This window comes from Homo sapiens, chromosome 8 (genome assembly GCF_000001405.40).
Source record: "Homo sapiens chromosome 8, GRCh38.p14 Primary Assembly".
NCBI lineage: Eukaryota > Metazoa > Chordata > Mammalia > Primates > Hominidae > Homo > Homo sapiens.
Genome location: NC_000008.11, coordinates 102,600,755 through 102,615,702, shown reverse-complemented (window position 1 = coordinate 102,615,702; position 14,948 = coordinate 102,600,755). Strand labels below are relative to the sequence as shown.

The window sequence follows — 14,948 nt, the reverse complement described above, 5'->3', positions numbered from 1 at the left end:
GCAAGATCCAAGCCCAGCCAATCAGAGTATCTTATTTCCCTGGCCATTGTGATTGGTTCAGGAATGGGCACTCGTGAACCAATCAAAATTGGTTCCCGTTAATTTTTTCCCCCTTTAATTGTTGGAAAATAATTGGCTGGGCCAATCAAAACAGTTCCTGTGAGGTTTTTTCCCCCTTTAATTATTTCACTTAGATTTCCAAAGTGGTTAAGCACTAATCTGGGGCTACTGGTGGCCATTTTGCTTCAAATGGAGAGTGTCTGGAGAGAGAGGGAGAAAGATGCTTGGTGACATCGTCAGTCTCTAGGTCTGCACTGTCCAATATGGTGGCCACTAGCCTCATGCAGCTTTTGAGTATTTGAAATGTACCTAGTTTGAATTGAGATGTGCCATAAGTATATAATACACACAGGGTTTCAAAGACTTAGTATTTTAAAAAAAGGAATGAAAATATATCATTAATAATTTTTATATTGGTTACATACTGAAATGATAATATTGTGGATATATTAGATTAAAGAAAATATATTTTAAAATTAACTTTACCTATTTCTTTTTACTTTTCTTAATGTGACTACCAGAAAATTTCAAACTACATATGAGGCTTGCCTTATATTTCTATTAGCCAGCACTGCTGTGGAACTGGTCATGCCTGAAGTCAGCTGTGCTCTGCACTTCTGAGCTGTGTAAGCTAATAGGTTCTCCTTTTTTCCCTCTTACGCTAGTTGAGCTGAGTCTCTGTCCTTTTCACCCTAGAGTCCTGAATAACACAGTTGTCTCCTGAGAGTTCTCAGCATCCCCCTACCAAGGAGCTAAAATTGCCCATGTACCTCTATTAAAGGAAAATGACAAAGACAGCAGAAGTTAATACTTGAATTTTGTGTTTTATTTTTTTACTTTAAGTTCCTGGATACATGTGGAGAACGTGCAGGTTTGTTACAAAGGTATACATGTGCCATGGTGGTTTGCTGCACCTATCAATCCGTCATCTAGATTTTAAGTCCCACGTGCCTCAGGTATTTGTCCTAATGCTCTCCCTCCCCTTGACTCCCCACCCCCGGACAGGCCCCGGTGTATGTTGTTCCCCTCCCTGTGTCCATGTGTTCTCATTGTTCAACTCCCACTTATGAGTGAGAACATGAGGTGTTTGGTTTTCTGTTCCTGTGTTAGTTTGCTGAGGATGATGGCTTAAACATATTCTGAGTCATAGTCTATGGAAAGTTTTTTGAACATTTTGGATTAATAAAGCTCACACCCCAGACGAGCTCAATCCCAAGGTGGGATGTGGACTTGGCAGGCCTAGGGTGAGGGAAGGAGGGGAAGGAGAGGAAGCTGTGGTGGGTGGGACTAGGGTTAGGCCACTAACCAGGGGTTGAGGCTGGCCCCCAAGGGGAGTGGTCAGAGGTTCAACTGAGAGTGTTTCATGGGGACTAGCAAACTTAGAAACAATGAAATGAATATGGGCTGTGATGTCAGCAGACCTGAGTTTGAATGCTAACTTTGCTATGCTCTATCCGTGTGGTTTTGGGCCATCATTTGCACTCCTCTGAGCTACTTCTAAAATGGGAGATACACTCTCTTCATGCAGACTCTTGTAAGGATCAGTAGCAATATGCCTCATGTGCTTTCACACTGAGTGGTAAGTAGTTACAGCTTAGTATGATTACTAGTCCAGGCAAGAATCCACATCACGGAAATCCAATCAGATGAGTGGAACATGGCAGTATGAGTTTCCAGGAAGTGGCAATGCTTGGGACATCATTGGGAGGGTGTTCATCTGTTTTGGACCAGAACTTCAGCTAGTGGCCAGGGGTCAGAGGCATTGTTCCTAAAGAGGCCACTAGGGAAGAGCCTACCACAGAAGGTCTTCCAAGAAAGGGGCTCCAACCCTGCGAACCTGATGCTGATGAGGATTAGTATTGGATGGCAGTGACAAGTCAGTCTTGCTGGGTTCAAATTCCAGTGTTGTCACTGTGTAAACTTGAGCAAGTTATTTGACCTCTTTAGCTGCATTCCCCATATCTGTAAAACAGGAATAATATTACCCCATTGAGATAGTGTGAGGGTTAAGTGAGATGCTGCATATGAAGTGCCCAGCAGGGTGTCTGGAACAGAATATGTTAATTATTGTTACTACTATGGACATCCAAGCAGAAGACTATATTTACTTATACAGAACTTTGATTCTTGATGCCTTCTAAAACATTTTCATGCCAGATCTACATATCTTTTCAATAACCAACGTGGGCCAGACAAGGTGGCTCACGCCTGTAATCCCAGCACTTTGGGAGGCCGAGGTCGGTGGATCACTTGAGGTCAGGAGTTAGAGACCAGCCTGGCCAACATGGTGAAACTTCGTCTCTATTGAAAATACAAAAATTAGCCAGGTGTGGTGGTGGGCACATGTAATCCCAGCTACTCGGGAGGCTGAGGCAAAGAATTGCTTGAACCCGGGAGGCGGAGGTTGTAGTGAGCCGAGATCGTGCCACTGCATTCCAGCCTGGGCAATAGATCCCATTTTAATTTTTAATTTCAAAATTAAAAATAAAATAAAAATTAAAAATAAAATAACCAATGTGCACTGAAAGGCAGATACATGACATATCAGAATGCAGAACATTAGGAAGTACTTTGCAGGATCACAGCTCTCCAAACACCTGGGTGCCCCACCCACTCAACTACCATGTTTTGACATCCGGAAGCCTTTAGAACATTTCTAGGCAAATTACATGCCCCTAAATTTCAGAGAATCTTAGAGACAGAAAGTATGTCTGAGATACACTTGATTTTTCACCAATCAAGCAAGCAGTAACTAAAAGCAGCGTGTTCTCAGCATTGAATTGCATGTCTGGGGAGGCAGCCAGAAGGAGAGAACTTGAAGTTGTGAACCTTGCCCTCCAAAGGACAAAAGACAGCTCCCACCACCATGCCATTCCTAGGATACCAGGTTGGAATTCTCCATGTTTCTCAACCCTTTATAGAAGGGTCATCTTTAAGGGCAAGATAGAATTTTGTTGGGGAAATAACTTCAGAATGAATCAAAGTCTCGTCACAGCTATGTTTTGGATGTTTGTCTCTGCAAACCTCATGTTGAAATTTTATCTCCAATGTTGGAGGTAGGGCCTAATGGGAGGTGTTTGGGTCATGGGGGCAAATTTCTCATGAATAGATGAATGCTATCCCTGGAGGAGAGTGGGTGAGTGAGTTCTCACTCTGTTCATTCCTATGAAAGCTGGTTGCTAAAATGGGAGCCTGGCACCTCCCCACCTGCTTTTTTTTTTTTTTTTCCTGTAGAGACAGGATCTTGCTACCTTGCCAGGACTGGTCTCTAAATCCTGTCCTCAAGTGATCCTCCCACCTCTGCCTCCCAGAGTGTTGCAATTACAAGCGGGAACCACCGCGCTTGGCCTCCCTGCTCTCTCCTGCCTCTTCCTCTCTCGCCATGTGAGCTCCGCTGTGCCAGCTCCCCGTCACCTTCTGCCTTGGGTGGAAGAAGCCTGAGGCCTTCACCAGATGCCCAGTCTTCCAGTCAGCAGAATCATGGCCAAATCAACCTTTTTTTCTTTGTAAAATTACCCAGTCTCAGGTATTCCTTCATAGCAATGCAAAATGGACTAAGATGGTGAACTAGAGCTCTCTCTTTGCCAGTGCCAAGAACTGGTTTAACACAGTGCAGGGATATTTGTCATACTCTGGTGATATACAACAGCCATAGTTTAGGATCTTGGTGTGAGATGCTCATACAATATAAAACCATACAGAGAAGACCATTTCCATTTATGGAATCAAATCATTTCAGCAATTGTCTTTCTGAAACCCCCACCAACAGTGTTATTAAAGCTGTTGCTTGGTAACATGCTACTCTCTACTGTATTGTTCTTCTTCCTCTTCTTTTTCTTCTTCCTCTTCTTCTGATAAGGTTAATAAGTATTTAACAATAGGCTAATATGCTTACTGAAGTGTAAACCAAAAGCATTGCCTTGAAAATCTTCCCAAACACTCACAACTCATACCATTCTTCACAAAGGAGCTGTGTAATGTGTATGACCATTCATAGTAATTAAATAGAAAAGGTGCTGGGCACGGTGGCTCACGCCTGTAATCCTAGCATTTTGGGAGGCCGAAGTGGGTGGATTGCCTGAGCTCAGGAGTTTGAGACCAGCCTGGGCAACATGGCGAAAACCCATCTGTACTAAAAGTACAAAAAATTAGCCGGGCGTGGTGGTGCGTGCCTATAATCCTAGCTACTCAGGAGGCTGAGCCACGAGAATCGCTTGAATCCAGGAGGTGGAGGTTGCAGTGAGCCAAGGTTGTGCCACTGCACTCCAGCCTGGGCGACAGAGTGAGACTCTGTCTCAAAATAAATAAATCGATAAATAGACAGAAGCAACATTGAAATGCCACTTTGATGGCTTCTGATGTTTGGGTTGCACATCCAACACGAAACCAGAGAGCCTGATTAATGCCCAATATTATGCCTTATAGATTTTTTTTTTTTTTTTTTGAGACGGAGTCTCGCTCTGTCGCCCAGGCCAGACTGCGGACTGCAGTGGCGCAATCTCGGCTCACTGCAAGCTCCGCTTCCCAGGTTCACGCCATTCTCCTGCCTCAGCCTCCCAAGTAGCTGGGACTACAGGCGCCCGCCACCGCGCCTGCCTAATTTTTTGTATTTTTAGTAGAGACGGGGTTTCACCTTGTTAGCCAGGATGGTCTCGATCTCCTGACCTCATGATCCACCCGCCTCGGCCTCCCAAAGTGCTGGGATTACAGGCGTGAGCCACCGCGCCCGGCCGCCTTATAGATTGTTAAGTGTTACAGATGCTAATTGAATGTAATTTCCCACTGTGGTTTCCTCAGCTTTCTGTTCCTGAGGGTCAATTATTACAGTGTATCTTGAGGATGCTATAACCTCCTGCCCTATTAGAAGGTCCTTCCTACACTCTAAGTTGTCCTCCCTACCACCAAGAGTGATGATGAATTTGCACTGACCCCGCATATCTCATGCTTGTCCACAATGGCATTCATTTTACAAATTGCGAGTGTAGCAGGTATTTGTTCCTTACTCTGAGTGCACGTGGTTTGAGTGGCTGAACCCATGTCCCCACTTCCAACACACCCTCCTCTCTGCTCTATCCAAACCTTGACAGACCGTGTAATCTACCCTCAAGTCACAGAGATGGCACAGGAATGGGTACTTGTCCTGAGATGACCCAGTTAGACTTAGTGCAGGGATGTTTATTGGACCCTTGTGAAGAGAAGCTCTTTTGCCAGGATACCTGAGAGACTGGAACGTGAATCTGGAATGTCTGATGGCCATTTTCCCTCTGAGTGGGAGGAGACTGAATGAAACCAACACACAGAAAGCAGAGCCAGGGGACAGATATGGAGAGAGACCAAGTCTCGATGACAGCACTGGACCCCCTAAGCTCCAGAAAATCTTCCATTGGACTTTCGGTTATGTATACTAGTGATTGAACCTTTTTCCAATTAAGTCCATTTGAATTGTGTTCACTGAATAAATGAATGAATGAACCTGGCCACACACCAACAAAAGCCAAGAATACCTGTTACAATCCCAGTCAGTTTGTGTGCCACAGTCCCGTAGAACAACTTCATTTCCCTACTGAATTCTAGTGAGTCACGTCCATGTGTGGCAGTCCTTGTAAGGTGCCTGGCTGTCTTGCCAACCCTCCTGCCCCCTCCTTCCCTGTTCTTTGTTAACAGGGCAGCCAGATAGAAGCCTACAGGGATAACTCATAGTTGATCTCCAGTGTGCCTCAACAGCTTGCATGGTGTGGGGATATCCTGCACGTAACAGTATCACTAGGATCTCTAGTTGCCACCTGTTAAATGACGGTCACCATTGCTGATAACTAACATGGTTTCCCCACATTTTCAAACTCCTGCTGCTCTTTTGTGCCAGATATTAATTTTCCCATATTCCCTTGCAGCCAGAAGTGGCCACATATCCTGGCTAATAAGTAAGGAGAGTAAAGATCTGCTAATAAAAAAATAAAATTCATTGTCCAAACTCTGTTTCTTTCTGCTTTGAATACAATGGTGTGAGGATGTGATGTTTGTGGTGTGACAGCCATATTTAGACCATGAGTTTTTTAGCACTGCTGTAAAATATTACCATAAACTTGTGGCTTAGAAAAACAGAAATTTGGCCAGGCGTGATGGCTCATGCCTGTAATCCCAGCACTTTGGGAGGACAAGGCAGGCAGATCATGAGGTCAGGAGATTGAGATCATCCTGGCTAAGACGGTGAAACCCCGTCTCTACTACAAAAATAGAAAAAATTAGCCGGGTGTGGTGGCGGGCGCCTGTAGTCCCAGCTACTCAGGAGGCTGAGACAGGAGAATGGTGTGAACCCAGGAGGCGGAGCTTGTAGTGAGCCAAGATCGTGCCACTGCGCTCCAGCCTAGGTGACAAAGCAAGACTCCGTCTCAAAAAAAAAAAAAAAAATGGCCGGGCGTGGGGGCTCACATCTGTAATCCCAGCACTTTGGGAGGCCAAGGCAGGTGGATCACTTGAGGTCAGGAGTTCGAGACCTGCCTGGCCAACATGGTGAAACCCTGTCCCTAATAAAAATACAAAAATTACCTGGGCATGGTGGTGTACGCCTGTAGTCCCAGCTATTCGAGAGGCTGAGGTAGGAGAATTGCTTGAACCCGGGAGGCAGAGGTTGCTGTGAGCCGAGATCGTGCTACTGCACTCCAGCCTGGGCAACAGAGTGAGACTGTGTCTCAAAAAACAAACAAACAAACAAACCAAAAAACAACCAGAAATTTACTTCTCACTCTTCTGGAGGTCAAAAGTCTGAAACCAAGTTGTCAGCAGGATTGGTTCCTCCTAGAGGCTTTGGGGGAGAGTCCTTCGCTTGCCCCTTTCCTGGCCTCTGGTGTTGCCATTCCTTGGTGTGTTAACACATCGCTCCAATCTCTGCCTCTGTCATCACATCTGCTTCTCCTCCCCATTTCTTTTCTTTCTCTTTCTCTCTTTCCCCTTCCTTCCTTCCTTCCCTCCTTCCTTTCTCTCTCTCTCTTTCTTTCTTTCTCTCTTTCTTCTTTCTTTTTTTTTTTTTTTTTTTTGAGGGTTTCACTCTGTTGCCCAGGCTGGAGTGCAGTGGTGCGATCATGGCTCACTGCAACCTCCACCTCCCAGGCTCAAGCAGATCTGTCCACCTCAGCCTCCCTAGTAGCTGGGACTCCACATGTGCACCACCATGACTGGCTAATTTACTTTTATTTGTAGAGACGAGATCTCCCTATGTTGCCCAGGCTGCTCTCCAACCTCTGGGCTCAAGTGATCCTCCCACCTCAACTTCCCAAAGCATTGGGATTATGAGCATGAGCCACCACACCCAGCCCTATTTATTGTCTTATCAGGACACTTCTCATTGGATTTAGGGCCCTTTTCTTATCCAGGATTATCTCATCTTGAGATCTTTACCTTAATTATACGTGCAAAAACCTTTTGTCCAAATAAGGTCACAATCACAGGTTCTGGGTGGACACATCTGTTGCAAGGCCAGCACCAATTAACCTACTACGATGAGGCAACATGGCTAAGGATAGAAAGCCGACATATGAGAATGGCAGAGAACAGTGTTATTAGAAAGACCCAGGTCTTGATGACATCATCAACTCATCAATGGTTTTTGAGCCACTCATTTGAGCCTGAAGTATCTCATCACTAAGAATTGCGTCAGTTAAGAAGTTCTGGAGCCCCAGAAAAATGAGAGCCAACAATTTCCCTTTAGGTTCACATTGGGTAAGCCTCTGACTTGCCATTTCCTTGTAGTTCATTTGCTGCTTTAACCTAGCAATTAATTTAGTGGAACCCGGAAAATTCAGCAACATGACAAGGAAATTCCATTTAATTTGAATTACCACTTTTGGTGGATTAGAAAAGCTGTAAAGAATAGGAAAATATAAGGGTACCATTCAGTGTTGATTTATTTTGACTGGAAATGCTTAACTTCAATTATTCATGGTAGAATTTTGTAAGAAAACAGCTCATATGCTCAAGGAAGCATCACTAAGGGAATGCACGAAGCCAAACTGCAGCTCATAAGCTCACAGTCTTCTGTTAGAAAACTCATCCTTGGGGTAAGATAGGGAAGCGAGGAGAAAGAATTGAGTCCTTCTCGCAGTTGGGCAGCTGGCATTTTGTATTTTGTTTCTTTTTAAATTATCCAAGTAGCATATATACTTTCTTTGTCTTTTTAATTTTTACATTTAATTTCTTTATAAATGCCTTAAAATATGTAAAATTTTATCCAGATGCATAAATGGAATTGTATGTAGTTCCTCAGAAGTACTGACTGATGTTTGGCATAACCAGATGCTGGTGAGCCCTTACAATGGCGTAAGGCCAAGCCACTGGTCAGGGCAACCTCCTCACCTCACCTGGCTGGGACCCTCTACTGGAGGAAGAGAAGGGGACTCCCGAGGAACAACCCTCTCTCAGATATACCCTTTGTCTGCTTTGCTTTCATACTTTTTAGGCTCAAGCAAGCTTATAGATAGGACTGAGCAGTATTCAAGGGTTTCTCTCTGCAATCTTTGAACCCAGGTCAGGTCTTTTCATATTTGGGCATAAGGCTTAAATATAGAGGAGCATTTTTTTTTTCTTTTGAGACAAAATCTTGCTAGATCACCCAGGCTGAAGTGCAGTGGTGCAATCAGCACTCACTGCAACCTCCACCTCCTGGGTTCAAGCAATTCTTGTGTCTCAGCTTCCTAAGTAGCTACAATTACAGGCATGTGCCACCAAGCCAACTAATTTTTTTGCATTTTTAGTAGAGATGGGGTTTCACTATGTTGGCCAGGCTTGTCTCGAACTCCTGGCCTTAACTGATCCACCTGCCTTGGCCTCCCAAAGTGTTAGAATTACAGGCATGAGCCACGGCACCCAGCCTAGAGGAGCATTTTTAAAAACTAAGTTCGTCTATCAAAAATTGGATTAGAAGAAGAAAAAGAATGAATTAGAAGATTATACACATTATTCTGCATCTTGCTTTTTCATGCTTAAAGAATTCCCAGCCAGGCGTGGTGGCTCAGGCCTGTAATCCCAGCACTTTGGGAGGCCAAGGTGGGCAGATCATGAGGTCAGGAGACAGATACCATCCTGGCCAACATGGTGAAACCCCATCTCTACTAAAAATACAAAAATTAGCTGGGCATGGTGGCACGTGCCTATAATCCCAGCTACTTGGGAGGCTGAGGCAGGAGAATTGCTTGAACGAGGAAGTTGGAGGTTGCAATGAGCTGAGATCGTGCCACTGCACTCCAGCCTGGCGACAGAGTGTGACTCCGTCTCAAAAAAAAAAAAAAAAAACAAAAAAGAATGCCAATGCATTCTTCTTTACTTGTGTTCCTATTAGCAGGCATTCATGGCGTTTCCCATTTTCCTTTTTTTCTTTTTCTCTCTCTTTCTCTTTTTCTCTCTCTTTCTTTTCTTTTTCCTTCCTTCCTTCCTTCTTTCCTTTCTTTCTTTCTTTCTTTCTTTCTTTCTTTCTTTCTTTCTTTCTTTCTTTCTTTCTTTTTCTTCTTTCTTTCCCTTATTTTCTTTTACTGTTATGGAAGATTCTGCAATAAACATCCTGCATATGTCCAGAGGCACTGGTGCCTTTATTGTTATGGAATGGACGGATTCTTTAGAATGAGATTACTGCAACATGAATGGACCTGGAGAGCATTATGTTAAGCAAAATAAGCCAGTCACAAAGGGCCACATGCTGTATGATTCCATTAATAGGAAATGTCCAGTACGGGCAAATCCGAAGGGACAGAAAGTAGATTGATGACTGTCTAGGGCTTCAGGGGGCGGGGTAGGGCAGAGAAACGGGGGGCAATTTCTAACGGGTGCAACAGGATTCCTTTTAGAGTAACGAAAATGTTCTAAAATTAATTGTGTGATGCTTCCCCAACTCTGAATATACTAAAAACCAGTGGAGTGTATGCCTAAAATGGGTGAATTTTATGGTACGTAAATTACATCTCAATAGAGCTGTTATTTAAAAATGATTGAAATTACTAGGTGAAAATGTATCACAGCTGTTTCCGTTTCCACCAGTATTGAATGAGAGCACCCTTTCCCCACATCCCCACCAGCAATAGGTCTTACAGTTCTTTCCAATTTTGCCAATCTGGTGCGTATAAAGTGATATCTCATTTTGTCTTTAATTTGTGTTTCCTGGGTTGAGTCTCATCAAAAGGGCTTCAATACCATTTCAGTGTACAAAGTAATAAGCAAGAGGTTCCTCATGCCCTCGTGTCTCCCCTGCAGTAACGACTCTCTAGAGTTAGGTGAGCTCCAGCCCCTCTTTATACATTTATAAACTGATGAACATATACATATCATCTTGTGATTGATAAAGAGAATCACACTACCACGTTGCTTTATGATTCATTTTTTTCTCATGACAATATGTCTCAGAAGTCTTTTTAAATTACCCTATGTAACTCTACCCCATTCTTTTTTTTTTTTTTTTTTTTTGAGATGGAGTCTCGCTAGATGGAGTCTCGCTCTTTCGCCCAGGCTGGAGTGTAGTGGTGTGATCTCGGCTCACTGCAAGCTCCGCCTGCCCGATTCACGCCATTCTCCTGCCTCAGCCTCCCGAGTAGCTGGGACTACAGGTGCCTGCCACCACATTGCATTCACAATGTTATACAATCATATTCTCTATCTAGTTCTAAAACATTTTCATCACCCCAAAATGAAACCTTGCACGCATTAAGCAATCATGCTCCCTCCTCCCCTGCCTTGAGCCCCTGGTAACCACCAGTCTACATTCTGTCTCTATGGATTTATCTAGTCTGGATATTTCATATAAATGGAAATATACAATGTGCGACCTTTTGTGTCTGGCTTCTTTCACTTAGCATCATGTTTTCAAGGTTCACCCATGCCATAGCATGTATCAGTACTTCATTCCTTTTGATGGCTGAAAAATATTCCATTGAGTGAATGTGTCATATTTTGCTTATACTTTCATCCATTGGTGAGTTTTTCATACATCTTTGAGCTTATAAATAACTCACACTCACCATGCCTGGCATTGTTCTATTGCCTTAAATGTATAAACTCATTTAATCCTATAGCAGTCCTATAACGTAGGCCCCTTATCCTACCTGGTATCCCCAGATTCAGACACCTCTGAACCACTGAAGTGTGTGAGTGTGCCTACATCTAGACAGAAATCACCCTGTCTAATCTATCTATACTACCTACTTGCCTCCCCACTACTCCCACTAGATATAAGTTCCATGAGAGCAAGAGCAGTGTCTTTTGGGTTCAGGCTCTTGGCACAGTACCTGGCACTTAGGAGTTGCTTGACAAACATTTGTTGAGTGGTGAATGCATAAATAAAATGCTTTAAAATGGAAGCTAAGGGAACTGATTTTAGTTTAAGTATTGGGAAAGTCATCATCATCACCCAAGATGAAGCCTGAAGGACAACTGGAAGTCTGTTTAGAGGGAAATGGCTTCAGGAAGACAGAGAAGTCTAAGCAAGTGCTAAAGCTGTGAACATACACAGCATGGTTCTGGCACAAAGCAGTGGCCTCATGTGAGTTGAAGAAATGGAAAATGCAGGAGGAGAGGTTGGAGATAGTGATCTAGAAGGCAGAATTTACAGGAATGCTATGCTAACAATTTTGGACCTTTTTCTTCAATGGTGGGGAATCCCTGAAGAGTTCTGGGCAGAAAAATGGTGTGCCTGGATCAGCAATATAGAAAGATCCATCTGGAAGCAATCTGGAGGATGGGTTGGAGGTTGGCAGTCCTGGAGGCAGGAAAACCCATTAGGAGATGTATTTACAGGGTCCTTTTAGCAAAAATCCAATTCAACTGGCAAAAAGTGGACTGTATTATCTCACCTGACCATGGAAAGGGCAGAGGTATTGCTGAGCTTCAGGGGCACTGCCAGGCTTCTCCATCACATGACTGACTCTGATTCTGTCTGTGTCAGCTTCAATCTCTCAGGCTGACTTACGTTACATCACACAAGACTGTTCATGGTCCTGGGCCTCAGCTCTTACACTGTCACTAGTGCCAGGAAATGACAGTCACTCCCTTTGTCCCAAGATCAATTATCCCAAGGAATGGCTGTCATTGGCCAGGTTTGGGTCAGGTGTCCATCTCTGGTCCCATCAACAGGGCCAAGATAACAAGATCTCGAGGCAATGGCGGTTTCCTTTCAAAACACATAATCAGAGATGGGGAAGGAGAATTTCCCAGAAGAAAAAGAGCTCTTTTCTGGGATCACAAAAATAGTTGTTTGCGATTGTAACCTATTGTTATAGTACAGACATGATGTGAGGAGTGTCTGAACCAGGAGCTCTGGAAGGGAGAAGAGAAGGCAAATTCAGGGACAGAATTTGAATAGAATACAGTACTCTGTTGCTGGCCTGTACTCTCCTGCAACCAGGAGCCTGGTGTCTCATCAGGGCCCATTGACTGAAAATCCAAGTCTCCTCTAGAACTGCCTCTACATTTGCAGATCTTGGGAGCCTGGAAACTTGAAGACTGGAGGCCTATTCTTCAGCTTTGCAGCCACTCTTCTTCCACATAAGCCTGAGAAAGGAGCTTCTTTCTCATGAGTCGTTACAAACTCACCAACCTAAGTGAGGACTAAAATAGAATTTCAGTTAATTTAATAGTTTTAAGTTTTAGAAAAATAAAATTACATTTCTTTCTTTTTTTTTCCTTTGAGATGGAGTCTTGCTCTGTTGCCACGCTGGAGTGCAGTGGCATGATCTCGGCTCACGCCAACCTTCACCTCCCAGGTTCAAGCAATTCTCCTGCCTCAGCCTCCCAAGTAGCTGGGATTACAGGTGCACGCCACCATGCCCAGCTAATTTTTTTTTTGAATTTTTAGTAGAGACGGGGTTTCACCATGTTGGCCAGGCTGGTTTTGAACTCCTGACCTCAAGTGATCCGCCCATCTCAACCTCCCAAAGTGTTAGGATTACAGGGGTGAGCCACCGCGCCCGGCCGTACATTTCTTATTCCTCTGGATTTAAAAACTGATATTTGTTACAACAGCACTTGGCACCTAACTGGTGCTGATCAATTAATTCTTTATTGAGTGATTGAGAGAAGAGCTGGCCCAGATGGGATATCAAGGAGACCTCAGGTCAAGGAGAACCTGAAGGAACTAGGGAAAGGGAAAACCAGGAATACAAGCTCCACTGGTTTCAGGTTCTTCTCTTAGGTAAGTTCTGACCTCCTTCTAACCTCTTCTTTCTGGTTTTCGATGGTGGTGGAGATACATGTGGGGGGTGGTCTTGGTGCAGGAGGGTGGGATTGTGTTAAATAATTCACAGAATTTGGGCTAGGCACAGTGGCTCATGCCTATAATCCCAGCACTTTGGGAGGCCCAGGAGGGTGGATTGCTTGAGCCCAGGAGTTTGAGATCAGCCTGGGCAACATGGCAAAACCCTGTCTCTACAAAAAATACAAAAAAATTAGCTGGGCATGGTGGCATGAGCCTATAGTCTCAGCTACTAGCGAGGCTGAGGTGGGAGGATCACCTGAGCCAGGGAAGTTGAGGCTACAGTGAGCCATGATTGCACCACTGCACTCCAGCCTGGGCAACAGAGTGAGATCCTGTCAAAAAAAAAAAAGAAAAGCACAGAATTCTTTAGGATTCCACCAGAGGGTACAATTCTGGAATTAAGCCACCCAAAGGAGTCATGAGTTTTTATGACCAAGTTTTAAATGGGTTTCTGCTTTTTACTTCTATGGTTCTTCCATCTCCCGCCCTCCACCTCAGAGTCCCGGGGCACTTGGCTCGCTCTGGCCTTAGTCACAGCTGCAGGTGTCATCTGCTGCCTGGAAGCATGTTCCAAATGGCAGAGCCTTGAAGATTCTCTTTTGCTAAAGATGAGGCTCTTGCCCTGGGAAGGAAGTAAAAGCCCAGTCCCCATATGGCACTACTTCCAACGGCAGCCTCCCAAAGAAAAACATGAGCTGGAACCTTCCACCTGACCTTCACTTTGGGCGAAACAGGGCTTGGGAAGCAAAGATAGTGACAGAAATGGTTGCCTCAGCTCACCCTGTGGTGGCTGCTGGCTGAGGGCCTGGGGCAGGCTGGCCGGCTAGGGGAGTAGGGTGAGAGGGGGCGATCAGCCAGGCGAGCTTGAAGGAACTGATGTCTCTGCCCAGTTAGCAGCATCTGGCTGTAACCTCAAAAGTTCTCAGCCTGGGATGAGGAGGGAGGGGCGGGACCTACCGCACCAGCAGCCTCACAGGGAGGGAGAAAGCCAGGGCTCTTCCCCAAACTTGGGCCAAGGGTGGCTCTACTGAAAGAGGAACGGCCCCAGGCAGCTCACAGGCCACAGCTTGGGTGGCCTGTGTTGGGGCGGGGGTCTGCATCCTGGGTTCTTTGAAATCATGCACATGTGCTGCCTGGAAGAGCTTCCCAACTGGAAGATCTAGAGAAGGATCTCAGTGGGTCAGACCTTTGGATTATTTTTAAACCCTGGATCGGGTTCCAGACAGCATTTACCCTGCAGTCTGAACAGCTCCGGAAAGCAGACGGGGGTGCTGGCAGGAGCGGGTGTGGGAGGGCGCGGCAGCTGACTCCAGGTCACGCTGACATCGGAGCGCAGCCAAGAGCAGGGCCGGGGCGAAGTGCAAAACCGCAGGGCAGTGAACTGCAGTCTCTGCCCTGCGCGCAGAGCCCTCCACGCTGTCCCGTGGCCCCTGCAGAAGTTTCCCGCTTTAATAAGAAAGGCATCCTAGGGTTAGATTTGCGGCAACACCGAGAGGCATTGAGCCCCTTCTAGGACGGAGAGACAGCGCCAGCCCCTTTAGGGTGGGGCAGGGAGTGAACGCGTCGGGAGGAGGCTTAGGCCGGGCCCTCCAGGAGGGGGCATCTGGGCACAGCTAGGCAGACTGGGTCAGGACTAAAAGAGTTTCCAAGCAAAAGGCTG

General features: G+C 45.3%; 1 annotated feature.

Moving 5' to 3' along the window:
• Positions 14,297–14,386: an enhancer, noted in NCBI's record as "active region_27768". NCBI's record gives its function as "activates an Ori minimal core promoter by ATAC-STARR-seq in GM12878 lymphoblastoid cells {active_cell/tissue: GM12878}" and the evidence as "EXISTENCE:reporter gene assay evidence [ECO:0000049][PMID:35858748]".